General features: G+C 37.8%; 1 protein-coding gene across 5 annotated transcripts in view; it reads left to right on the plus strand.

Annotated features, from left to right (window-relative positions):
• Positions 1–26,562, plus strand: part of FRY (FRY microtubule binding protein) — a 267,352-nt gene that overhangs the window by 77,643 nt on the left and 163,147 nt on the right. For all 5 annotated transcript variants that reach the window (XM_047429999.1, NM_001411012.1, XM_047430000.1 and 2 more), the window contains exons 4-10: positions 7,918–8,057; positions 14,870–14,960; positions 15,186–15,265; positions 15,379–15,459; positions 22,256–22,424; positions 25,488–25,580; positions 25,669–25,767. In XM_047429999.1, the coding sequence (XP_047285955.1) occupies positions 7,918–8,057; positions 14,870–14,960; positions 15,186–15,265; positions 15,379–15,459; positions 22,256–22,424; positions 25,488–25,580; positions 25,669–25,767 (753 nt within the window). The remainder of the gene's footprint in view (positions 1–7,917; positions 8,058–14,869; positions 14,961–15,185; positions 15,266–15,378; positions 15,460–22,255; positions 22,425–25,487; positions 25,581–25,668; positions 25,768–26,562) is intronic.

Consider the following 26,562-nt stretch of genomic DNA (forward strand, 5'->3'; position numbering starts at 1 on the left):
CTCAGATAAAGGAGGAGTTAATGATGCTAGGAAGGTACACAAGTGTGTGCTACAAGAAGCAACCAAGGAGCAGTGACATTTAAAATAAGCCTTTTATCCAGATGAACAAATTGGGCCAGGGTATGCCAGGCAGCAGGGGTCTCACAGACAAAGGAGAAGTTGAAGGTGAAAAGAGCAGAGTGCTGGGAATGAGGGTAGAAAGGTGGACTGAGCCCATTGCAGTGGGTAGTAGGAGCCGTGCTGAGGGGTCTAGATTATTTTCTATGGGCTATGAGCTCTTCAAGCAGAGGAAACTATACTTGGGGGCAGAAGACAAGAGAAGGCTGTAAATCCGTTATGCATACTGAGTTTTCAGGGAAGGTGAAATATCTCAAGAAAAATAACGGGTTCAGTTTATTATGTGGTCACTCAACAAACACTGATAGAGACTAGAGCACATAAGTAAAGAACGTCATAAAGAGTTTAGTATCAGGAGGTGGGATCTACAAAAGAATGGCTAGAAAAAGGGTAGTTTGGAAAGTGGGAGAAGTCTAGAGATAGTGCTCTCTAGGGCAGGGATGGCCCATCACAGCAGCTGATGCAGGGACATCACGGAAGATGCAGACCAGGAAGAACTGGAGGTTAGCAGCTAGGAGCTCACTGGAAGTGGCTTTGAGGAAGGCTTTTGCTGCAATGGCTATTCATGGATGTGTAGAGTGCATTTTCATAGTCGATGGACTAATGTTAAATACTTTGAAGCTTACTTTCACAAGCTAAGTTATAGTGGCTGATTATGATTGGTAGCACCTAAATAACAAAGCAGCGTGCTAGAACATAATCATGGAACCAGTGATGAGTTCCTTATCTGGCATCTGTGGAGAGCATCTATGAATGAAAGGCATGTGAGCTCACCATTTTACCTTCAAGTGGTTTTCTTCGTTGTACAGACATCTTTTTACAATAAAAGTCCACAGCATTTTATTTCAGATTCTCCAAAGAAACAATAGCCAACAACAAAGAACTACTCATCCAACCGTGATGAGCGTGGGCCTGGGTGGGTGATGATCAAATTAGCCCATTTTTAAAAGTGAAAAAGCAACACTCCAAAATAACTCTTACTTGAGGGAGTTTGTGACCCTTACCTGTTGGAGATTGTATTAATGACAGCCACTAGATACAGTTACTCTCAGAAATGAAAATTCTAGCTGATGAATGAAGTCAGAAACGAATATTCTTTCACATACCTTCCAGCTACATGCAAATGCTTGCTTGTTGATTTGCTCTGCCCTTGGCTTTTAGACCTTTGCTTATGTAGTATTTAATGATGATATAAACATACAATGTGTTAAATAATACCAAAAATTGTATGCTGTACAATGTTTTTCTGTTTGAAGTATTATTTCAACTTTTAAAACAGTCTCATACAGTAAGTGGAAGTTATTTTCTCTTTGCATAATAAAGTCTGATTACTCTGCAAAGGAGCATGTGTCAGAGCAATCAGAATTCAGATCCTTATTGTCACAGATGAATTGTCCTACTATGCTTTGGCATTTCATGAGGAACAGCATAGAAGATAAGAGAAAGTACAGGAAGCTAATTAAGACAGGGCAACATCATAGGATTCTGGGGAAGAAATCCTTTCCAGGAGAACCTGGTGAATACTGTCATTTGCTCAGGAGACTTCAAGGGAAATTATTGCAAAAAAGGCCATTGGTTGGCCATTGAATTGTCCCTGCTGATTTTTCAAATAAAGGTGCCAATAATGTGGCAAGGACAGAAATCAGATTTCAGGGATCAAGAAGAGAGTTGGGGGCAGATGCAGTGGTTCACTCCTATAATCCCAGCACTTTAGGAGGCTGAGGCAGGTGGCTCATTTGAGGTCAGAAGTTTGAGACCAGCCTGACCAACATGGTGAAACCCCATCTCTACTAAAAATACCAAAAAAAAAAAATTAGCTGGGCGTGGTGGTGTGTGCCTGTAGTCCCACCTACTCGGGAGGCTGAGACAGGAGAATCACTTGAACCTGGGAGGCAGAGGTTGCGGTGAGCCGAGATTGTGCTGCTGCACTCCAGTCTGGGCAACAGAGTGAGACTCCATCTCAAAAAAAGAAGAAGGAGAAAGAGAAGAAGAGAGTTGGCAGTGAAGCAGGAAGAGGAAGCATCAGCATTGCATGGGTGATTGAGAATCTGTCAGGAAGAAGGACAGATAATTGAGAATTAGATGAGAAAGGGGAGAGCAGGATCATATGAGGGCTACATGTGTTTTACAGAACGCTCTTATACCAAATGAAGTACAGGAGCTTCACACTGTGCCTTCTTGCAGAGGGTTGTGTCCATTTGTCACAACCCACTTATATTTGGACTCAACACTTTTCTCAGAGTGGTTGAGGATCCTGAGTTAATTGGTTTTATTCAATTGATTGATTCTGATTCCAGAATAGTCATGAGTTACTATCCTCAGTGTCCTTTCTCATTGGCTTTGAAGTGAGCTGTTGCCTGCAGCAAACTCAGGGAGCCAGATGTTTGCTACCTTTCTCTCAAGGGTCTAATGCAGGACAGACATTGCTCAGTGACCTCTAATGCAAGCATTTGCAAGGCGCCAGGCAAAAGGCTTTGTATTTACATCTGCTGGAGTCAGAAAAGAATGGGAACACAAACTAAGTTGCAAGGGTTCTAATGAAGACCCTGGGAGTTTGTGCTTGGACACGGGATAGGTGGGGCTTTTCAGGTTCCCACAATATACTTAGAAAGTGACATTTCTTCAGCTCTGGTGAATAAAATCCTGACAGCAAATTCTGTTACTTATTCTGTTATTAACTTAGCCTGTGATCTCATCACAGTCATTTTTTGTCTTTTTTTTTTAATGCTCCTCTTTCTATATTTGGAAATGAAAGAAGGAAACACATTTTGGAAGGTTTATTATGTGCCCCACGTTTTATAGCATCTCATTTGTCCTCTTAAAATCCCAATGAGGTAAGTATTTAGTCCCATTTTACAGCTGAGAACACAAAGCATCAGAGAAATGGTGGCATGCCAAGCTTATACAGCTATAAGAGGCAGAGTTGTAACTTGAACCCAAGACCATTTGATCATCCCATACACTAGAGAAACTATGAAAACATGGCACGTGAGTGGTCAGTCTCACATGTTGGGTTCTGAGAACATTAAGCTGTAACTATTTGCAATTGAATGTGACTTATATTCTTAACTAGTGTCATATCCGTGAATTGCAGATCATTTGCCCAAACATTCTAAGTAACTTCAGTTAAGGTTTTCTTCCAGATGTTATGTCTTACATACTTTTGTGTACTTGTGTACTTATGTACCGTTTACTTTATTTCTTAATATGTTAAAATACTATCTGTAAACAGGAAACACATGGTTAAACATATTCACACCTCTATAACTGAGCTAAAATCACTTTCTACCATCTTGGTAGTAGTAATTTTCCGGAAAAGGAAGCAGATGAAGAATGTAAGCAATTAAGAGTGAAAACAATTTAACTGGCATTGGATTTATATTAGTGTTAGTCAGCATTGCTTTAATTATTCTCTAGTGGAACACTGTTCTATGAAATGAACTAAGATGTTAAAATCAAAGAATCTTTTCCTAACTTGAATGAAAAAAAATATTTAATGTATAGATTTTTATGATATTGTTTTTCTATGAAACTATTCTTAAATCTTTGTCGTTACTCATCAAATACTATAATCTAGCAATAGTATGATATGTGATCAAGTATAAATAAATTGCATTTGAAATTAAGATATCAGCATTTTATGGTATTACACAGTGAGTATCGTGGCCCTCAGAGTTGCTTGACCACTTGAATTTGTTAGAGAAATTAAACCATCAGTGCAGTTACTTTAAAGTTATTCATTAAATGTTCCATTTATGAGAAGCCAGTCTTATTACTATAAAATATGGAATGACTCCACTGAGTAATTATTCAAACACTTATATGTAAAGTTTCCTTCTTTGCGTTTAACAAGTATAATGAAATGCTTATGAAAAATCAATGTCTTAGCTGCAGCATAACAGTCTCTTTTGGCCTATTTATACATAAACTGCCAAAGTAAACATTAAAACATTTACAAAGTACATTTAGTTTTCTTCTGTATCCCCCCAAAAAAGAAAACACAAGTATGAAATAGTCCTGTGATTCTGTGCACTTCATCTCTTCATGCTGCCCAGTACCTAGCTCACTAGCTCATCTGTGGTGGAAGAATATGATCATTTAAATGCAACAAGAACATCTTTGTAAATGGGCCTGCCCTCTTTCATCAGGAGCACAGAGCTAGAATTCATCTTACCATTGGCTCTGCTTCCCGTAAATGAAGGAGTTGAGTAACCAAGAAGCCAGCTAGACCTTCCTCCCTTCCTGAGCTTTGAGGGCCAGGTCTTTGCAAATTCCACCCTTCCTTCCTGAAAGCCTGGGCTCAGAAGGGCAGTAACAGAAAGATGGAAAAACACACACATCCACCCCATGCTGACCTTTCATCCCTTCTAAGATGGTTTCAGTGTTTTGCCATGGAAAGTATGCCCAGTAGATCTAACACCAAGAATGGATTCAGGGTGACTTTTTAATGGGGGAGAAAAAAATATTTTAAGAAATTATTATAGATGAAGTCTGATGAACACTGTGGAAGTTCTCTATGGAGAATGGGGGTTCCACATACATGAGGTAGCGGAACATTGCATGCATTGCCCAGAGATGTTTAGGAGTCAAACGTAAGTTTCCATCTCTTTTATGGGTCTGTAGTGAGTATTGGAACTTATAAATATCCCACACAAGTATTTTTTGAATAAACTTTTTATTTTGAAATAGTTTTGGATTTGCAGAAAAGTTGCAAAGATAATTCAGGCAGTTGCCAGTTTCCCCTGCTGCTATAGCATCTTACACTGCCATGGTACTTTTGTCACAACTAAGAAACCAGCATAGGTACATTATTGTTTTATGTGTTGGGCTTTTTTAGTGGTTTACTATAAAGGAGATTGCAAAGGATATAGATGAAGAGATGTGTAGGGCAAGCTGTTGGGGAGGGGGTGCAGTTTCCATGCACATTATTGTTAACTAAACTCTACTGTGCTTTATTTGTATTTCCTTTCTTTTTCTCTGATATCTTTTTTCCGTTCCAAGATACCATTCAGCATACCACATGAACGTTTAGTCATCATGTCTCCTTAGATTCGGCAGATTTACACAAGTATTTTTAAATTATTGAAATATAACTGTAATGCTTTGAAATTTCGTTACCTATGTAATAATTAAGATAGTCATCCTATAGTCAGAAACTCTGAATTCTGATCCCTTTTTCTTCAATGGGAGGAATGTCCTTCATTTCTCAATTCAAAACATTTTAGATGTTGGTGACTTCGGAAAGTAAATATCCTTTCTCATGTTGGGATAACTTTAGAAAGAATTAGTGAATTACTACCTTGCCACATCATGATTAGCTTTCTTCTGAAAAGTTACTGCTGTTACATTCATGACCACAGCAGGAAAAATATGTCTTGGCTGTGGATTTCACTAGAGTCAAGGGAAGGGTGACTCTTTAAATAATTAGATTGCTCTTCAGTTTTAAAAAGTTTATGCTGACTAGGTTAACAGGGCAGGCTGAATGCAATAGCCTATTTATTTTTACCTTATATTAACTCATAACTAAAGATAATGTACAATTTTGTATGTGTACATATAACCATCATTATGGGAGAGACAGCATGAAGTAGGCTATGAAGTGGTAGAATGTGAGAAAGAAAGCAATAAATATTTTGTTCAATCTTAAGGTTTCTTTTAAAGGTGACAGTGGAAAATCCTATTGACACAAAGCACTTTAGCTCCCTTTGCTCTCATTTCCTGCTTTATAAAAGGAAGTGAAGCCCGGCCTGCTTAACTGCAGAAATATTGTGAGTTAACTAAGGATTTCCATTTCTTCTGCCATCTCTGCTTCTCAGGCCGAGATCACAGAATGCCTGGAATCACTGCCATCACCTCATGCAGTTCAAGCATGTGTGTGAATTTGCCTCCACATCACCCCACTGTTTGGGGGATTCAGCCTCCCCATACACAATTTGTATGGGCTTATGTCCCTATTCAAAAATCTTTAGAGTCTTCTCATTTTCTAGAGAAGAAAAATTTTCAGCATTATGTTCCTTCACTCTGGCAAAATAAAGTCTTCATACCAGTCAGATATTTCTTCTTTCATTTCACTCAAAACCTTCGTCACATCAATTGTGATAATCATCAACAGTTACTTTATACCTTCATTACTAAAGGCTTTTTCTACCTTGAGTCTTTGCTTTTTTTTTTCTTGGGTCTCATCTCAAATTTCTACCCTTTCTAAAATAGTCCCAGGTAAACTCTCATCTTCATTTCTCTTAAATTCCCAGCCTCCTTCTCCCTCTAGTGATCTGACCTAAGAACCCCTGGTTTTCACATGCACTCTATATGTTAGTATGTTTCCTTCTGGTCCTGTTTTCTGCATATGTATACTTACATAGTATCTCTAACAAATTGGAATCATACCAATTAAATGATTCTTCATTTTTTTCATTTACCATATCATGAACATTTTCATGTCATATTTTTATATTTATATTAAAATATGATTTTAATGGTTTCAAAAATAGTCCACACCAAATTCCACATCTTATTAAGCATTTACATGTAGTTGGACATTTATGTTGTTTCCATCCTTTTGCTATAATAAATAATGCTGTCCTGCACCTTCTTACTTATCTTTAATTATGGACTTGAGATAAATTCTAAGAGTGGCCTTCTTGGGAATGATTTTTATTAGGTTCTTGATATGTATTTCCAGAGATGTTATGCCTGTTTTTTTCTATCAGCGGTATATGAATATATCCACTTTATCACTGCTCATCAACTCTGGGCGTTATAATTTGCTTATACAGTTTGTTGATTAGCTAGTTAAAACCCATTTCATTGTAGTTTTACATATTCTGGAGACAAGGCCTTAGTCAGACATGTGTTTCGCAAATATTTTCTCCCACTCTGTGGTTTGTCCCTTATCACGATCTTAACTGAATTCTTCTAAAAGCAGAAGTTTTTGGTTTTGAAGAGTTTCATTATATGAAATTTTATCATAGACTTTGCTTATGGGGCCGTACCTAAGAAATCCTTGCCTAATACAAAGTCACAAAGGTTTTATCCTATGTTTTCTTGGAGTTTTATATTTTTAGGTTTTATACTTAAATTTATGAGGCATTTTGTGGAAACTTTTGCATAGAGTAATGAGATATGGATTGAAGTGTTTTTTTATAGTAATCAGTTAAAAAATCAGGACTCTTTCCAGATAAGGAAATTAGAATAACAATTCTACCAAAGGCACATTTGTTCTTTAAAGAAAAAGGGAGAAGTTTGCCTTTAATGTAACAGGGGGTAAATTATTGCTGCCCATTTATATTTTGAGTCTAATTTGGGGCATACTTCAAATTAATGAATGAATAATTATTGTCCAAAACCATACATTATTATTACCACTTAGGTTATTTGGTGATGGGGGCAGATTTGTTTATATCATGTAAATTATTAATGTAACTGTATTCATATATTTATACAACAAACATTTTTAGGACGGAAGAAGCATTCATCTACTTTAGGCAGATGAACGTGGGAACATAATATCTTTGCAGTTCCATGAATAACCTGTATGCAATTAACATCTGATTTCTAGAATGAAAGGGAGTCAAAGTAATTAACTTTCTTGAACTACAAAATTATTCTTATATGGGGAACATTTGTCACCATTAAGAGACAGGCTCTTGGGAATGTACTAATAAAGATTATGAAAGAAAGGACTGTGATACGGAAGAAAATATTTTAGTGAGTAGTGCTTGGGGTTACTTGTGAAATAAAAAGTTTCTCAGTAATTGGCAGTGCTACCAGTGTTCTAATCACCTGCATTTTCCTCCATAGGTCATCAGCTCAATGAGCTCCCTTTCTGAGTACTGCCTGCCTTCCATTCTACGTACATTATTTGACTGGTATAAAAGGCAAAATGGCATTGAGGATGAATCACATGAATACAGACCAAGAACAAGCAATAAATCAAAAAGGTACATTTCTTTTGTGTAAGGATCATGGTTTTATTTTGTTTTGTTTTCAGGAAACATAAATCAAAATTAGAGTTACAAGGCAATTGGGTCTTCCTGACTCTTCACAAGGATGCCTAGCAGGTGCTGCAGGGGCCCTGTGTCTGTAGCAGGTAACCCATTTGGAGCACCGAGTCACTGCCAGCCGTCACGGGTTGAAAATTCATACACAGCTTTATTTCAACTTTGGTGGAGACAGGTGTGAAGGGCCACAGGTCACTTTCTTGCCAGCTTCTTTCCTCTGCCCTCTCCCACTGAGTCTACACCCAAAGCAGAATGCTGACTTCAGGCCTTGCGTGACATGCCAAGATATTTTAGTCCTCGTTCCAGTAACCTTGAGTGCTCAGTGTACTGTAGTGGGAAGGACGCTGGACTGGACGTTAGTGGTAGTCCTGGCGCTGCCACTATTTAGCCATGTGACTTTGGGCAGCTCCCCGCCTCTCTGTACCTCAGCCTCCTTGTGAGCAAAACAAGGAAGTTAGGTGACACCATCTCCAACTCCTCCTTCCAGCTGAGTATTTTGTTTATTTATTCTCTGTTCCCTTCTTCCTGTGGGTTTGAAAAATGGAACTTGCTGCTCCAGGAGCATATCAGCATCTGTAAAACTTAAGATTCTCATTAATGTGTGTCCTCCCCAAATTTTAGGTAAGCACATATAATTTCATATGTTTAGTCAACCTATAGCAAGGCAGTGAATATAAGAAAGATTAATACACTTACCTTTTTTAAAAAAAATAAAAGATTATTTTAAAAAGTAGTTAGATTTCTCCACATGAATGGATTATTCCAATTAAAAAAATACTTTTAAAGTCTGTAAACTGAAATTAATCAACCAGAAAATCAGACATTAACTACTTTTTGTGAATGATTTATTTCTCTCATTTTTCTTGAAAGTCCTAATACTGTTTCAAAAGACTTCTTTTGAAATAGAAGAATTGTAACATTACCATGTTACACTTCAACAAAATTTGTAATCTGCTTTTATAATGTGCTTGAATTTATGCAAGATTTAATCATATAATTTTGTTTGGGAGAGAGATTAATAACTTTTTCGTATTGAATTTTTTTTAGTGAAGAAGGAAATTTTTAGAATTTTTAGATATAACTCAGATGCCATAAAATTCACCCTTTTAAAGTATATAATTCAATGTTTTTAGTATATTTACAGGGTTGTACAACCATTACCACTCTAATTTCAGAACATTTTTATCACCCCCAAATCCTGTACCCATTAGCAGCCTCTCCTCATGAATATTTTTTTAATTTATCAGGTTTTAAAAATAGAATTTAAATTGTTTATCTGAAAAATGGTTCAGACCATGTGATTAAGAAATTAAAAGGATCATTTTATTATTTTTTCCATATTACATGTTGTCTTATGAACAGATATTAAACCTTCCCAGGGGCAGGGAGTGGGACAGTTTTTAGTGAGTTGAATTGAGTTTTAGTTTTGTTCCTCTGTTTTGTCAGAATTTAGTTGCTGAAATTAGATTTTTCATGAATTGATTTCTTTATGGATTAAAAATTATAGTTTTTAAAATTGTGTTACTGATTATTTTCAGGAGATCAGAGTAAGTACTGAGATCAGATAAAGAATCAGGACAGTAAAATTTGACTTAGTAGCATTTTAGTTAATGCTTGAATTTTTAAAATAAGAGAGAAAATGTGCTTAGAAAACAGCCAAATGAATGAAGCTCTCTAGGGTATGGTGTAGCTAAATGTGAGTTTCTGCTACTAGGAAAAAAAGGTTGGGGGGACTTTAAGGAGGAGCATAAACTACTGAAAATAGATGTCAGGGATGCACATTGGGTTGTGATTTCTGAGATTAGTACAGTATCAGCATTTGGACTGCCAAATAAATCTGTCAAATGTCTCTGGCTCCTGGCAGTTAGACTGCAAACCAGCAATAAAGTTGAATTCATTATTAGAAATGTATATGTCTTACTTTGATTTGAAAACATAATTTGGCTTATTAAATAAAATAGAATCAAAGGTCTACATTTTTTTTTCTGCCAAGAACTGCTACTTTCTCAGGTTCCTCTGGCCACTTGTAAAGACCCTTAGCATCCAGCACAAAAATACTCTCTCTACTGCTGCTGGCCATCTCTGGGAGTTCTCCTTCCTTTTGGTCTTTCCAACTTCCTGTCTCCTTATTCTATAATATAATGGATATAAAGCCTGATTTCTGAGTGCCCTCCTTTTTAATGCAGCTGCATAGATTTTCCTTTCCCCCAGCTCGCAGTGCCGCTTACTAGTTCCAGTGGGTCTTGAAGGACTTTAGATAGATGGTTTTGTTCACAGCTCTTTCTCCTGGCAGGGCTGTTCATAAATGATCCTGAAAGAATGAGTTCCTACTCTGTTGATACATTTACTCCTTGAAAGATAAACATGCAAGTTCCTTCTTAACGCGTTCTGTCATCCACCAGCCTTAATTTGACTTGCTCAAAGTTACAGAGCACTCCAGAAGGTCTTCTTTATATCTTAAATATCACATTATTTTCTTCTTATTCCCTTTTGACTAAAGAGAAAAACATTCCAGATTTAAAATAGTCTTGATTTATTTTGAAAAGATCTTCCTGGCAAGTCTAAATCCTGTCATCCCTCCTCATTGGTTTTATTTAATATATACTATTGAGCATTTATGTGTTTGGGAAATTATGCTAAATACTTTACATGTTTTATCTTCTCAAACTATTATGTAAGTACTATTATTCACATTTTGTAGATGGAGAAATTGCCGATAAATAGAAGAGGCATAATTTTATGCCAGACTGTTCCACACCAGAGTCAGTGCTCTAGGCCACTTCTTGTGCCAAGGAGCCCAGCAGTAATTTCATCTGTCTTTGTTCAATTCCAAATGAGCCCTCAATCAGTGTGTTAGTCAAGCAGAAAATGGGGTAGAGGGACTGCCTTCCTGTTCTTCTGACAGTGCTGATTCTGCTTCTAACTTTTTTAAACATTTATTTATTTTTCCGTACGTTATTGGGGTACAGGTGGTATTTGATTACATGAGTAGGTTCTTTAGTGGTTATTTGTGAGATTTTGGTGCACCCATCACCCAAGCAGTACACATTGTACCATATTTGTAGTCTTTTATCCCTCGCCCCACTCCCACTCTTCCCCCCAAGTCCCCGAAGTCCATTGTATCATTCTTTTTTGTTTGTTTGTTTGAGACGGAGTCTCACTCTGTCACCAAGGCTGGAGTGCAATGGCATGATCTCAGCTCACTGCAACCTCCACCTCCCAGGTTCAAGTGATTCTCCTGCCTCAGCCTCCCAAGTAGCTGGAACTACAGGCATGCACCACTGTGCCTGGCTAATTTTTGTATTTTTAGTAGAGACGGGGTTTCACTATGTTGGCCAAGCTGGTCTTGAACTCGTGACCTCATGATCCGCCCACCTTGGCCTCCCAAAGTGCTGGGATTACAGGCGTGAGCCACCATGCCCAGCCCACATTGTATCATTCTGATGCCTTTGCATACTCACAGCTTAGCTCCCACATATCAATAGAATGTTTGGTTTTCCATTCCTGAGTTACTTAACTTAGAATAATAGTCTCCAATCTCATCCAGGTCACTGCAAATGCTGTTAATTCATTCCTTTTTATGGCTGCATAGTATTCGATCATATATATATACCACAGTTTCTTTATCCACTCATTGATTGATGGGCGTTTAGGTTGGTTTACGATTTTGCTATCATGATTTGTGCCACTATAAACATGCATGTGCAAGTATCTTTTTCGAATAATGACTTCTTTTCCTCTGGGTAGATACCCAGTAGTGGGATTGCTGGATCAAATGGTAATTCTACTTTTAGTTCTTTATGGAATCTCCACACTGTTTTCCATAGCAGCTATACTAGTTTATATTCCCACCAGCATTGCAGAAGTGTTCCCTGTTCACTGCATCCACGCCAACATCTACGGGTTTTTTTGTTTTTTGTTTTTTGTTTTTATGGCCGTTCTTGCAGGAGTAAGTTGGTATCACATGTGGTTTTGATTTGCATTTCCCTGATCATTAGTCATGTTGAGATATTTTTTCATATGTTTGTTGGCCATTTGTATGTCTTCTTCTGAGAATTGTCTACTCATGACCTTAGCCCACTTTTTGGTGGGGTGGTTTTTTTCTTACTGATTTGTTGGCATTCATTTTAGATTCTAGATATTAGTCCTTTGTCAGATGTATAGATTGTGAAGATTTTCTCCCACTCTGTGGGTTGTCTGTTTACTCTGCTGACTGTTCCTTTTGCCGTGCAAAAGCTCTTTAGTTTAATTAGGTCCCAGCTATTTATCTTTGTTTTTATTGCATTTGCTTTTGGGTTTTGGGTCATGAAATCCTTGCCTAAGTCAGTGTCTAGAAGGGTTTTTCCAATGTTATCTTCTAGAATTTTTATAGTTTCAGGTCTTAGGTTTAAGTCCTTAATCCATCTTGAGTTGATTTTTGTATAAGGTGAGAGATGAAGATCTAGTTTCATTCTCCTACATGTGGCTAGCCAATTATCCCAGCACCATTTGTTGAAAAGGGTGCCCTCTCCCTACTTTATGTTTTTGTATGTTTTGTCGAAGATCAGTTAGCTGTAAACACCACATAAACAGAATTAAAAACAAAAATCACATGTTCATCCCAATAGATGCAGAAAAAGCATTAGACAGGCCGGGCGCAGTGGCTCACACCTGTAATCCCAGCACTTTGGGAGGCCGAGGTGGGTGGATCACAAGGTCAGAAGATCGAGACCATCCTGGCTAACACAGTGAAACCCTGTCTCTACTAAAAATACAAAAAATTAGCTGGGCATGGTGGTAGGCGCCTATAGTCCCAGCTACTCGGGAGGCTGAGGCGGGATAATGGTGTGAACCCGGGAGGCGGAGCTTGCAGTGAGCAAGATGGCACCACTGCACTCCAGCCTGGACGACAGAGTGAGACTCCGCCTCAGAAAAAAAAAAAGAAAAAAAAAAGCATTAGACAAAATCCGGCATCTCTTTATGATTAAAACTCTCAGCAAAATCGGCATACAAGGGACATAACTTAATGTAATAAAAGCCATCTACGACAAACCCACAGCCAACATAATACTGAATGGGGAAAAGTTGAAAGCATTCCCTCTGAGAACTGGAACAAGACAAGGATACCTACTGTCAGCACTCTTCTTTAACATAGTACTAGAAGGCCTAGCCAAAGCAATCAGACAAGAGAAAGAAATAAAGGGCATCCATATAAGTAAAGAAGAAGTCAAACTGTCACTGTTTGCTGACAATATGATCATTTCCCTTGAAAACCCTAAGGACTCCTCCAGAAAGCTCCTAGGACTGATAAAAGAATTCAGCAAAGTTTCCAGATACAAGATTAATGTACACAAATCAGTAGCTCTTCTATATACTAACAACGACTAAGCGGAGAATCAAATCAATAACTCAACCCCTTTTACAATAGCTGCAAAAAATAAAATAAAATACTTAGGAATATACCTAACCAAGGAGTCGAAAGACCTCTACAAGGAAAACTACAAAACACTGCTGAAAGAAATCACAGACAACACAAACAAATGGAAACATATCCCATGCTCAAGGATAGGTAGAATCAATATTGTGAAAATGACCACACTGCCAAAAGCAATCTACTAATTCAATGCAATCCCCATCAAAATACCACCGTCATTCTTCACAGAATTAGGAAAAGCAATTCTAAAATTCATATGGAACCAAAAAAGAGCCCACATAGCCAAAGCATGACTAAGCAAAAAGAACAAATCTGGAGGCATCACACTACCTGATTTCAAATTATACTATAAGGCCATAGTCACCACAACCACGTGCTTCTAACTTTTAAATGAGCACAAATGACTGCTTTGCTTCTCCTACCTCTTCTTCCTTCTGCCTTTTACTCTTCTCTCTCACCACCCCTTCACTTCTTCATTCCTCCTTTCACTAAGTCTCAAGTGGCAAAAAATGTAAGAGAAAAGGGACAGGGAAAGAAAAGAAAAGTGGTAATGCCGATCCTCTTCACCCCTGCAGTCCTGCTCAAATTGGTGATCATATTATTTCCTTCTTGTTTCCTTACATTGTTTAGCTCCTTTCACGAGATCTTTCAATGTCCACCTCTGGTATGGTAGCCTGTCTCAAGTTGTTATCACATTTTACAGGTGGTAGAATTGCAGAGTTGAAAGCTACCTTAGAAAAGACCACAAGGTGAGGTGATAGACGCACAAATAACTACTCAAGTTAACATCATTGAAAATTTTAAATTTGAAGTCAAATATTCCGACTTCAAATCCAATGTTTGTCCACTGCAGCACACAGAGAATTAGCATGTTTTGTTGTTGTTGTTGTTGTTGTTGTTTTGAGATGGAGTCTCGCTCTGCCTCCCAGGCTGGAGTGCAGTGGCATGATCTCAGCTTACTGCAACCTCCGTCCGCCTCCCGGGTTCAGACGATTCTCCTGCTTCAGCCTCTCAAGTAGCTGGGATTACAGGCATGGGCTACCATGCCACCTGGCTAATTTTTGTATTTTTAGCAGGGACGGGGTTTCACCATGTGGGCCAAGCTGTTCTCAAACTCCTGACCTCAGGTAATCTGCCCGCCTCGGCCTCCCAAAGTGCTGGGATTACAGGCATGAGCCACTCCGCCCGGCCAACGTTAGCATGTATCTACCAGTGCAATTATATAATTTTAAAAATGGGTTTTGCAGTCTATTAGGGAGGAGTCCTAGATTTTTTATGAATTGTATTACTCTGAGAATACCTTCAGTGTGCTTTAATGTAAATATTTTAAATTTTACAGCGATGAACAACAGCGAGATTATTTAATGGAAAGACGGGACCTCGCCATTGATTTTATTTTTTCTTTAGTATTAATAGAAGTTTTGAAACAGGTAGGTGATTAATTTATTGTTACTTTTAGATAATATTTATTGATCTAAAAACTACTTAGGTTGTAAAAGTCTAAGTTTTTAAAATTATTTCTGAATTCCAAATACTGGGTTATATGACTTATGTTTATTGATTGCTATTGATTGTCATATATAGTTATTGGAAGTACTGTACCGATTTGTTCTTTAATATTCCCTTCTGAGTTAAGAACCACCTTTTTTTTTCAGATTCCACTTCATCCTGTAATAGACAGTTTAATACATGATGTTATTAACTTGGCTTTCAAGCACTTTAAATACAAAGAAGGGTAAGATGATTTCTCACCTTAGAATGTTGAAGTTGGTGTTTAAAACTAAATCAGTGGTTTGCTTTTTTCCGATGACCAGGGATCCCTAACTTGTCTAATTATACCCTACTTAGGTACCTTGGTCCCAACACTGGCAATATGCATATTGTGGCAGACCTGTATGCAGAAGTCATTGGAGTGTTGGCACAAGCCAAGTAAGTGAATGCCAGAACCCTTTACCATGAGAACGTGCGTGCTTTCACTGTCCTTCCAGCCCTAATTTAGGGAAGTTGGGGTTGAGCTTACAAGGAACTAGGTAGGGCTCTTTGCCATGTGTGCCCCATCTCTGAAACTGAATAGAAAGCTCTTCCAAGACAGGTATCAATTATCTTTTTTACTTGGCACTTGGGCCAGATCCTACCTAGAGTCCATGGGTTTCATACTGTTGCATCAAAGAAATGGGGTGACCAGATTACATTTCTCTCTGCCTAAATATTCCAAGGAAGTTTATCACTTTTGAAAGTTCTGTTTTCTCTAGCCCATGAGTGGGTGGTTACAATATATCATCTATCAGTGGGAAAATTCCATTCTAGAATGTCCCCTTTACTATAGACCTTACTTAATTCAGCTGAGCTAAAAATGTCCCAGACTCTGTCATGGAAACAAGTCAGGGGGGAAATTCTCATTGCTAAATTTATCTGGCCCCATAGCACTACTTAGCAGGCAAGAACAAAATTGCGTTAGACTATTAGCAACAATATACCTCTTCCAAAAGTGATGTCACACCCTACTTACCCAGCTTCATTTTGTCCAACCCTGAGGCAAATCAGGCAAGATCCCGAATGCCTAAGTTAGGCAAAATGAACCAGAGACATAATGTGAATTCATGCCAGGAGGTCAGCTTAAAGCAACAGTGATGCTCCAATCCTTGTGAAATGCAATCCTTCCTCAGAAAGAGATTTTTATCTTCAAGGGATTGAATTTCGTAACGTAGTAGCATGGAAATTACACAATTTATCAAAAAAACAAAAATTTTAAAAAGCACTTAGCAATCTTACCTGGCCAAAACATAGACCAGAATGCAGGAAATAGAACCCCTTAACTCCTTGGCATAATTTATTTAATCTAATCCAGTTTATCTACTCATCCTGACTATATTTTTTTTAATATATAACACATCAGTGTTCGAAGGAGGAACGGGAACTTCCAGAGGATGATAAACTGATGCCATTGAGAAATAAAGCTCAACCGCTGGTGGCAACAGAAAGGAAAGAAACTGGCCAAAGCATACATAAGAATTAAACAATAGAGTGATCTGGGCCATTTTGCATGAGGCTATATTGTAGTTTTATAGCCTATTAAAATAATTGTGGTTCATGAATCATTAAGAAAAAAGTGTAATGCATTTTGGAGATATTTCCATTGCAATTGAGTAATGAAAGCATTAGCATTTTAAATGGACAAGCTGTAGTTATCCAGCAAATCGTGTATCTACCTCATTTCTAGAAAAGATTGGGAAAAATGAGGTATTAACATGTATACTTGCTGATTTGTCAAACCCTGAAAATCTCAACATAAACTTTCAGCTGTCATTTGGAAACTTCAGTATCCAAAAATGACTTTGTGTTTTCCTTAGTTTTTGTGAATTATGCATAACAATAATATTGGTTACTGTCAAATGACCTTCCTTAGCTCTGTGATTCTGAGTTGGTTGTGAATAAGTTGAGAAACACTGTCATAACTGAGCAATATTCTAAGCTTGTAGGAATTTCCATTTTAGGTAAGATTTATGGTCCACCAAGTCAGTGTTTGCTTGCCAATGGTGGCTTTTTTTATTTTCGTGATGTCAGTATTTGTCCCTATTCTGCGGTAGTAGGGTGTAAGAAATGCCTCCATTTGGACAGTGCTCCAGTACTTTCCAGTCTCTAGTGAACCGTTTGGCCAGTCTGCTCTTGCAGTAAACACAGACTCCAATAGCCCTTGATGTGTTCTCAACTAGTCTATATGTAGTTAACCTTGATGGATAGATGGTATAAACTTAAACTAGTATCATACCATGAATTATGACATTACTTCTTTCTCATAAGTACACCAGGACCATTACTTTATTGTTACCTTAGAAAAGTACTGTTTCCTTCATTCCCAGGGTGGGAGAAAGAATGTTTGCTTATCTGGTATAGTGTGATTATCTTTTTTAAAAAAGTTGAGTAATGTAATAATTCTAATTTTAGATTATATGTCTCATTCCCAATGATAATGCTTATTAAATATTTTCCTGATTATGACTTTAGCTATTAGTACTTACTTTGGAATTTGAGTTTTAGCAGAATCACTATTTTTAGTCTTACTAGTGATGATGCTGTTTAGTTCTTGTCATTTAGGGAAAAGAATTTTGATAATAAGTGTTATTCACCCATAATATTGACTTTTTGAAAGTCAGTTAAAACAAATTTAACTACTTTGGCCAAAATCTGGTAGATTCATTTAAATAGTAATAATACTTCATTTAAGAATCATAGATTTTTAAACTACTTTCTCTTTATGCGATATTATCTTTATATGTTCATTTACTCATTTTTGTAATATGTACTATACATTTTAAAGCAGAAGTTTATATTCATGTGAATTTTATAGTATACCAAAGACTAAGTAATCATTGAGTTACAGTATTTACTAAATAAAATACTAAACAGGAAATACTAAAGGAAAGGTCATTGAAATTTTTTTTTCTTAAAGTCACTTTAAGAGAAAATAGATTTTAAATGCAAATAGATTTTTTGATGGCTTTTGTGCTAAGTAACATGTTTATATCATTTGGGACTTTTAAAAATAAAAGTCTGAGTGCGGTGGCTCACACCTGTAATTCCATCACTTTGGGAGGCCAAGGTGGGCGGATCACAAGGCCAGGAGATCGAGACCATCCTGGCTAACACGTTGAAACCCCGTCTCTACTAAAAATACAAAAAATATTAGCTGGGAGTGGTGGCACGCACCTGTAATCCCAGCTACTCAGGAGACTGAGGCAGGAGAATCGCTTGAACCCGGGAGGCGGAGGTTGTAGTGAGCCGAGATCGTGCCACTACACTCCAGCCTGGGTGACAGAGCAAGAATCCATCTCAAAAAAAAAAGTAAAAGATAGACGTATTTATTTTTAAATGAGAAATAAATAAACTTTTAGCCACTAACTCATGAGAATATTGAAATAGTGAATTATGCAAATAACTTCCCTTTTTCTCTCTCTCCTTATTTTAGTCATGGATTCAAACTGGAAAACAAACTTTCCTTAGTATCGTGTCATCTTTAAAACTATATAACTCTAACTATAATATTTTTCTCTCTAAACTCATACATTTAAAAATTAAAACCATAGTTATTTTGGTATCTGGAAATAATTTGAAAAGAAATACAATTTTTTAAAATTCAGTTTGGGGTTATTGCATTTTTATAATCTTGATTTAAAGTATCACTTCCATTGCTTGACAGTCATGGTCATTTCTGCTTCCTACCTTTTATCCATCTCTACCGAATGTCCTCTGCTCACCTGTACCCCAGCTCAAATCTCCTCTGAAATCCTCTCTAATTAATTACGCAGATGAGAATAGCCCCTTCATTCTCTGATGCCCTGAAGCCACTATTTAATAGTGAATAGTGATTGACTATTCACCAAATAGTCAGTGTGAAATATAAGAAAGTGATGGAACCTGGTGCATCTGAACTCCCTGAAGATCAGAAAGGTCTGGACAGTGTCCAGCAGGTGCTAACACATAGTAGGCCCCCGGTAAATTATTACTATTGTGATTCACATGGCTCATGGTCAGTGCTACCTTGTTTTATCTTCCTAATTAAACTATAAACTATTCTAGAGAGGGCAGAGACTACATGTTACCATTACCACTGTCTAAGACAGCTGCGGTGTAATGGAAATTCCTGGAATTTATATCAGAAGCTCTGGGTTTGAGTCTCTTCTTTGCCACTGTGGTCTTCCAATCTGTTTCTTTATTTGTTAATTGGAAATGCATTCACTGCCTAATTCACTGGATTGTTAAGGATCAAAATGTGAAATGGTATAATCGCTTAAAATGTAAAACCACTTACAGATATTTCTTGTTATTGTTATTCTGAGTCTACACCAGTGTTTCTCAAATTTTTTCACATCAGAAACACCTGTAGAGCTTATTAAACACAAATTATTATTCATCCCTGGAATTACGGATTCAGTAGGTGTATTATTCTGCTTAAGCTGCCATAACAAAGTACTGCAGACTAATTGGTTTAAACAACAGAAATTTATTTCCCACAGTTCTGGAGTTGAAGTCCAAGCTCAAGGTGTTAGCAGGGTTGATTCCTTCTGAGGCCTCTCTCCTTGGCTTGTATGTGGCCATTTTCTCCCTGTGTCTTCATATGGTCTTCTCTGTGTGTGTGTCTCTACTCATCTCCCAGTCATGTTGGAGTCCTTATAAGAAGGGGAGACGAGTACAGAGACACACACAGAGATATAACTTCATTTTAACTTAATAACTTAGCTGGAGAGGTTACATGGTGTCCATTTTATGATAATAACTTTGTTTTAAGTTAATTACCTTTTTATAAGCTGTATGCCCAAATACAGTCACATTTCGATCTCAGAAGGGTCAGGCTTCAACATATGAATTTGAGGGGCACACAATTCAGCCCTAACAGTAGGTCTGCGGTAGGACCAGAGAATGTGCTGATACCAAATAGATTTTTGTAAATTTAATAAAGTTTCTATTTTAATTTTTGCTAATTTCCTAATCTGAAAAATTAATATACCATTTTGTAGTTAATCTCCATGAAATTTTACTTATAAAGTAAACACAGCTAATATTTTCTACCATATTCTAATAGTATTATTTAAATGTCAGAAGGGGCCAGTTTGGGGTGCTGTCTTGAAATTGGGTATTCTGTAGAAGTCCACCAAATGCCACCGAAGATTAGGAAAATACCCTGAAATATTCTTAGCGATGCTAATAACCCATTAGGGAATATCTCATTCATAAGTTGTCTAAATCTTCTTGAAGCTATTTATATTTTCTGCTCTATTGCCTTTTAAAAATCTTTTTTATTAAGAAATACATGTAGCAAACATAGAGGAAAATCCATAAGGCAGTTAAACAAAGTATTATAAAATGGACACCATGTTACCTCCCCACCTAAGCCAAGAACTAGAAAATTGCCAGCACTTGAGAATCCCCTCACGCCCCACTTGCCAACCACCAGCCCCTGTACTGCCTTTGGTTAAACAATGTCTCTATGTTTACTGCCTACTTTATTTGTCCTGAAATTTCTGCTTTAAGGTCTCAAGAATTGTTCCAAACTTCCGGGACTCTATTAGTTCACCTTTCATTTCTATAATCACAATTACCTCCCCCAGCCTTTTTTTTTTTTTTTTTTTCCGGTGAGACAGAGTCTTACTCTATCACCCAGGCTAGAGTGCTGTGGCGTGATCTTGGCTAACTGCAAGCTCTGCCTCCCAGGTTCAAGCGATTTTCCAGCCTCAGCCTCACGCACACCACCACGCCCGGCTAATTTTTGTGTTTTTGGTAGAGACCGGGTTTCACCATGTTGGTCAGGCTGGTCTCGAACTCCTGACCTCAGGTAATCCACCCACTTCGGCCTCCCAAAGTGCTGGGATTACAGGCTTGAGCCACAGCACCCAGCAACAATTACCATTTTTAATCAAGGCTTGCTTCTAATTTTTCATGGAACCTCAGGCTAATAGTCTCAGAAAACAAAATACAATAAATCTTAGACTGTTTTCTTTGGAAAGTGTTTGTGTGTGTGTGTGTGTGTGTGTGTGTGTGTGTGTGTATTTTTTGGTGAATAGACAAACCAGCTGTGTCAGACTTAGTGGTATGGACAATTTCTATGTGTACATTTCTCTACTCTTAGGTACTTGAAGATCTGCTTCTGCTTTCTCTTAGCTTTAAGATCTGTTCTTTTTACAAACATGGATGATAATATTGTTGTAATTAGTATTATTTTACTTTCGAATACAAATACTTTGAGGACAGGGACTGGACTGTGTCTTTTTGTTTGTTTTGCACTTATCAGATAAAACTGTAAAATTCCATGAATATAATAGACAGCCCATTCATCTTTACCTTTTAGATATAATTTAAATTTTCCCATTACTAGATTTTTTTTTTTTTTTGAGACAGAGTTTCGCTGTTGTTGCCCAGGCTGGAGTGCAATGGCATGATCTCGGCTCATTGCAACCTCTGCCTCCCGGGTTCAAGTGATTCTCCTGTCTCAGCCTCTCAAGTAGCTGGGATTACAGGTGCGTGCCACCACACCTGGCTAATTTTTGTATTTTTTGTAGAGATGGGGCTTCATCATATTGGTCAGGCTGGTCTCGAACTCCTGACCTCAGGTGATCTGCCCGCATCGGCCTCCCAAAGTGCTGGGATTACAGGCGAGCGCCACTGCGCCCGGCCTCCCATTACTAGATTTTTTAACCCAAAAATATATTTTTCAATAATCATTATCCTACAACTATAAAGGAAATGATAACAGAAAACTTTAGAATTACAAGAATACTTGGCATTATTTGGAATACAAATCCTTATATCATTTGCTGTCCCTGTCAGAAATCACTAACCTAGTATGTTATTGCTCATAGACTCACTATTTGATACTTCAGGCTCTGGGGTCTGCAACTGTGTTGAAAATGGCCAAGCCTGAGGAAATGGGGTTTTTTGTGATGCTCAATTTAAGAGCTAGACCATTTTGAGAAGGTCTAAATAAACCGGGATCTGCCCCCTCGCCTGATGAAGATGTTGAGCATCTTACAGTATAAGAAGGGTAAAGGAGAAGAAAATTGGATCCTTTGCCAAATCCCAAACACCAAATCCTTACAAAATCATGGCTGTTGTACTTGAACTGATTTAAAGGATTCCATTGCTCTGCTCAATCACTCCCAGATGCTGGAGGCCCCCATTACAGGGACTTTCCTACCCAATATTTGATAAACCACTTATGTTATCTTCTTAGATTCCCTGCTGTAAAGAAGAAATTTATGGCGGAGCTAAAAGAATTACGGCACAAAGAGCAGAACCCATATGTGGTTCAAAGCATTATCAGCTTAATAATGGGCATGAAATTCTTTCGAATTAAGATGTATCCAGTGGAGGATTTTGAGGCCTCTCTTCAGTTTATGCAGGTAATGTCTTAGGCAGGAGAGCTAAGGTGCTCTCAACTTGAGCACTTCCCTTCCTCAAAATGATGAACCTGGAACATGAAAAGCCAATTACTTGTCAATACGGAGAAACATTCTACTGTCTAAATAATTCATGAAGTCCTTTGTAACCAAATAGTACAGTTGCGGGCACATAATTTCATTTCTCAACTTTCATATATCTTTGGAGGAGAGTATACAGTGGGATTGCTTGTTTGCTGACTTTTTTCTCTTTCACCCACTGGTACATATTGTTCTATGAATAAAATATAACTGATTTTTACTTTTTAAAATTGATAGCATTGGGTTGGCTACATTGACATTCACAGGCATGAGGACTTGAAATAATAAAGAAATCTGTTTTATTCTTACTATAAAAAGGAATCTTAATTTTTAAAAACTCAGCTAAACAATACAGGTTTGATATTTATTGCCCAGTGCCCATCATGGTACATAACAAAAGAATTGCTGCTAAGGAGAATTTAACAGAATACTCAGCTCTTAGAGTTTACAAAACTTTGGTATTTGAAGGAATTTTTAAAATGCTGCTGTGAATTAAATTTGGTGATGACCTTACTAGAGGGTTTAGATGTATGGATTATGAATATAGGCTGTACCATTTTACACCCACAAGGATGGCTATAGTCAAAAATATAACAATTCTGGGTGAAGATGTGGAAAAATTAGAACCTTACACACTGCTGGTATGAGTGCAAAATGGCACAGCCACTTTGGCACAGCCTGTGCCACAAATGGTACAGCTTGGCCCTGGCAGTTCCTCAAATAGCAAAACCTAGAATTACCGTATGATCCAGCAATTCCACTCCTAGGTATATGCACAAGAGAAATGAAAATATATGTCCACACAAAAACTTGAACACAAATGTTCATAGCAGCATTATTCATAGTTGCCAAAAAGTGGAAACAACCCAAATGTCTATAAAATGATGAATGGATAGATAAAATGTGATATATCCCTATAATGGAATATTATTTGGCCATAAAAAGTAGTGAAGCTGATACATGCCACAACATGGGTGAACTTTGAAAATGTTACACTAAGTGAATGAAACCATACACAAAAGGCCATGTATTATATTATTCTGTTTATATGGAATGTCCAGAATAGGCAAATCCATAGAGACAGAAAGTAGACTAACAGTTATCTAGGGCTGGGGATGGGGAGTGGATAGGGAGGTTGCAGATGGCTGCTGAGGGGTAGAGTTTCCTTTGGGTGTCATTAAAAGGTTCTAAATTTGACAGTAGTGACAGATGCACAACTGTGATTATACTAAAAGTCAATGAATTGTATATGTTAAATGGGTGAATTGCATACTACATAAATTATGTCACAATAAAACTATTATATATTGGGGGGACTATGTATCAAACTTCTCGGGTTTGAATTCAAGCTCTGGCATTTACCAGCTCTGTGACCTGACCAGTCACACTTAACCCCTCCCATCCTCACTTCCCTTATCTGCAAGGTGATGATAATGACACTAACCTTAGAGAGTGGTTCTGAGGATTCTTAGCACATGACAAACACTCAGTAACTGTTAAATATTTTATTATTTATCCCACTCTCATATTAATAATTCCTTTATCTATATACATGAATTAAGACTTGAGAGAGTATTACATACTTATGCAAAATAATGTAGCAAAAGAATGACTATTCTGGGAACTATAGAGCTCATCTGTATAGGAAAGCTGTTTCAGTGACTTCCCGTACTGGTGTTGCCTATCTTGAGCTGAGGTCTTAATATGATATTGATAGAATGAGGACTTTAGGGATTGTTTTTGGCAATCTTCCCAATGGCAACAGAAAATAAAGGGAAATAGCCAGTGTAGATATTAACATGTTATTATATTTAGCCTTGGACTCTTTCTTTTCTTTCTTTCTTTCTTTCTTTTTTTTTTTTTTTTTTTTTTGAATTTGAGACAGGGGTCTCACTCTGTCACCCAGGCTGGAGTGCAGTGGCATGATCTTGATTCACTGCAACCTCTGCCTCCCAGGCACAAGTGATCCTCCCACCTCAGCCTCCCAAGTAGCTGGGACTACGGGTGCCGCCATCATGCCCAACTAATTTTTGTATTTTTTTGTAGAGACAGGGTTTGGCCATGTCACCCAGGCTGGTCTGGAATTCTGGGCTCAAACGATCTGCCTGCCTTGGCCTCCCAAAGTGTCAGGATTACAGGCATGAGCCATGGCATCTGGCTGCCCTGGACTCTTGAATGAAAACAATACCTGATATAGACCACAATAAGTTACTACCAATAAGGCCAGGAAGGAGAGAGAGGTGGGCAGAATTCTGCCAACTTTCCTTTTAAAAAAGTTGACATTTTGTTTAAAAAAAAAATGTTGGCAGGCCAACTTTCCTACAGAATGAGTCATTGAGCAACCAAGAACACCCTTACATATGACAACAGTCCACTGGCAGTAGTGTCCTTTCTTAAGGAACCCTTCTAAAGGTTTCCTTGTTGAGGTGGGAGAGGGAAACGTTCCTGACTTGCTTATGAAACTAGGTGAATAATAAACACACCTAAAATGTCAGAGCGAACAAGTAAACAGCTCTGTGCCTGAGGCTGTCAGGCATAGGGCCTAAAATAAGTTCGATGTCTTCTGCCTCTCTTCCCATGTTTACCTTCCCTGGGGATCTGTGTTTGTGGGCTAACTAGGAGCCCAGGGCCTAACACACACACTAAGTAATAAATAGAAATGTATTGGAAGTGAATGACTGAATGAATCAACCAGTGACTCAGTGGATACACGTGTGCTTGCTGGTTAGAGATGCTTTGTCCTTTTAGAATAGTGAATTGAAATATAAGAGTGAAAAAACCAGCCTTGCAGAATGTCATTGAGGCCATTGCAAACATACAAATTTCAATACAAATGTTTGAATCCAGTGATTTTTAATAGACTATGGAATATGCTCTGTTGATACATGATTGAATTAAGAGCTACTTACTGAAACTTGTTTAAATACATTCTATGTGTACATTTCAACCTACTCTCCCTCCCTATACTCTTTTTCTGCTTCCCAGGAATGTGCACATTACTTCCTCGAGGTCAAAGACAAAGATATCAAGCATGCCTTGGCTGGGCTTTTTGTTGAAATACTTGTTCCAGTTGCTGCTGTGAGTTTCATTTCTAAAAACTCCTTCAAATTGTATCACAAAATCAACAATTTTATTAATATAATATTCACATGCATCTCTATTTCAGGCTGTTAAAAATGAAGTAAATGTTCCCTGCCTTAGAAATTTTGTGGAAAGCCTGTATGACACCACGCTGGAACTTTCTTCTCGAAAGAAGCATTCCTTGGTTAGTAACTATGAGAAAATCGAAAACACAAACAAAACTGCACAGACTAAAATTCCTAGACAGGAATCTGTTTGAGGATCCTAAGGACTCCACAGATAGGAAAAGTACCTAAAGCTCCCTCAAAAAGAGGCAGCATTTGAAACTGAAGCTGGCTTTTTGTATTGACCATGATTGAATGATATTCATGTAGGGGGATTAGACCGCATCACCTCAGATGACCCTCTGGTCCTAAGGAGTCTGTTATTTACTTTCAAGATTGGCTTAACTTGATTTTTATTTTAATTTCTGAGAACTTTTTTCCAATCTGAAGGCTAAAGTTTATAATAACAGTTTCTCTTCTCAATCCCCAGGAGCCTGCCCTGGCAAATTTCTATCTGGATGCTAGGATCAAAATGGAAACAGGCAGGAAAAGGAGTTGGGAAATAGACAGTTGCCCATAGGAAGGATTATCTGAAGGCTGGGAAAATAATTCTTGGGAAGGTTTCGGTACTGAAGAGCAGTATAGAAAATCTTTTAGGTTACCACCACCTTTTACCCGCTATGGTGAATAAAGCTTTGGTTTATGAATCGGCGAGTGATGTAACAGCTGTAATGTGAAAGTCAGGAGGAAGCAAGTTGTTTAGGGATCTGGTTACTGGCATGGTTTATGCTAGTCTCCAAAGGATGAGCATCCCTACCATGATTTGAGCAGGTACTTAGGGTTGCTTTGCTGGTAGTGGTGACAAATTTGCTCATTCGTCTACATTCTGTGGTCATTGTGACTAACTGCATGCATATTTTTTAGATTACTGACTA

The sequence above is a fragment of the Homo sapiens genome, chromosome 13 (assembly GCF_000001405.40).
Source record: "Homo sapiens chromosome 13, GRCh38.p14 Primary Assembly".
Taxonomy (NCBI): Eukaryota; Metazoa; Chordata; class Mammalia; order Primates; family Hominidae; genus Homo; species Homo sapiens.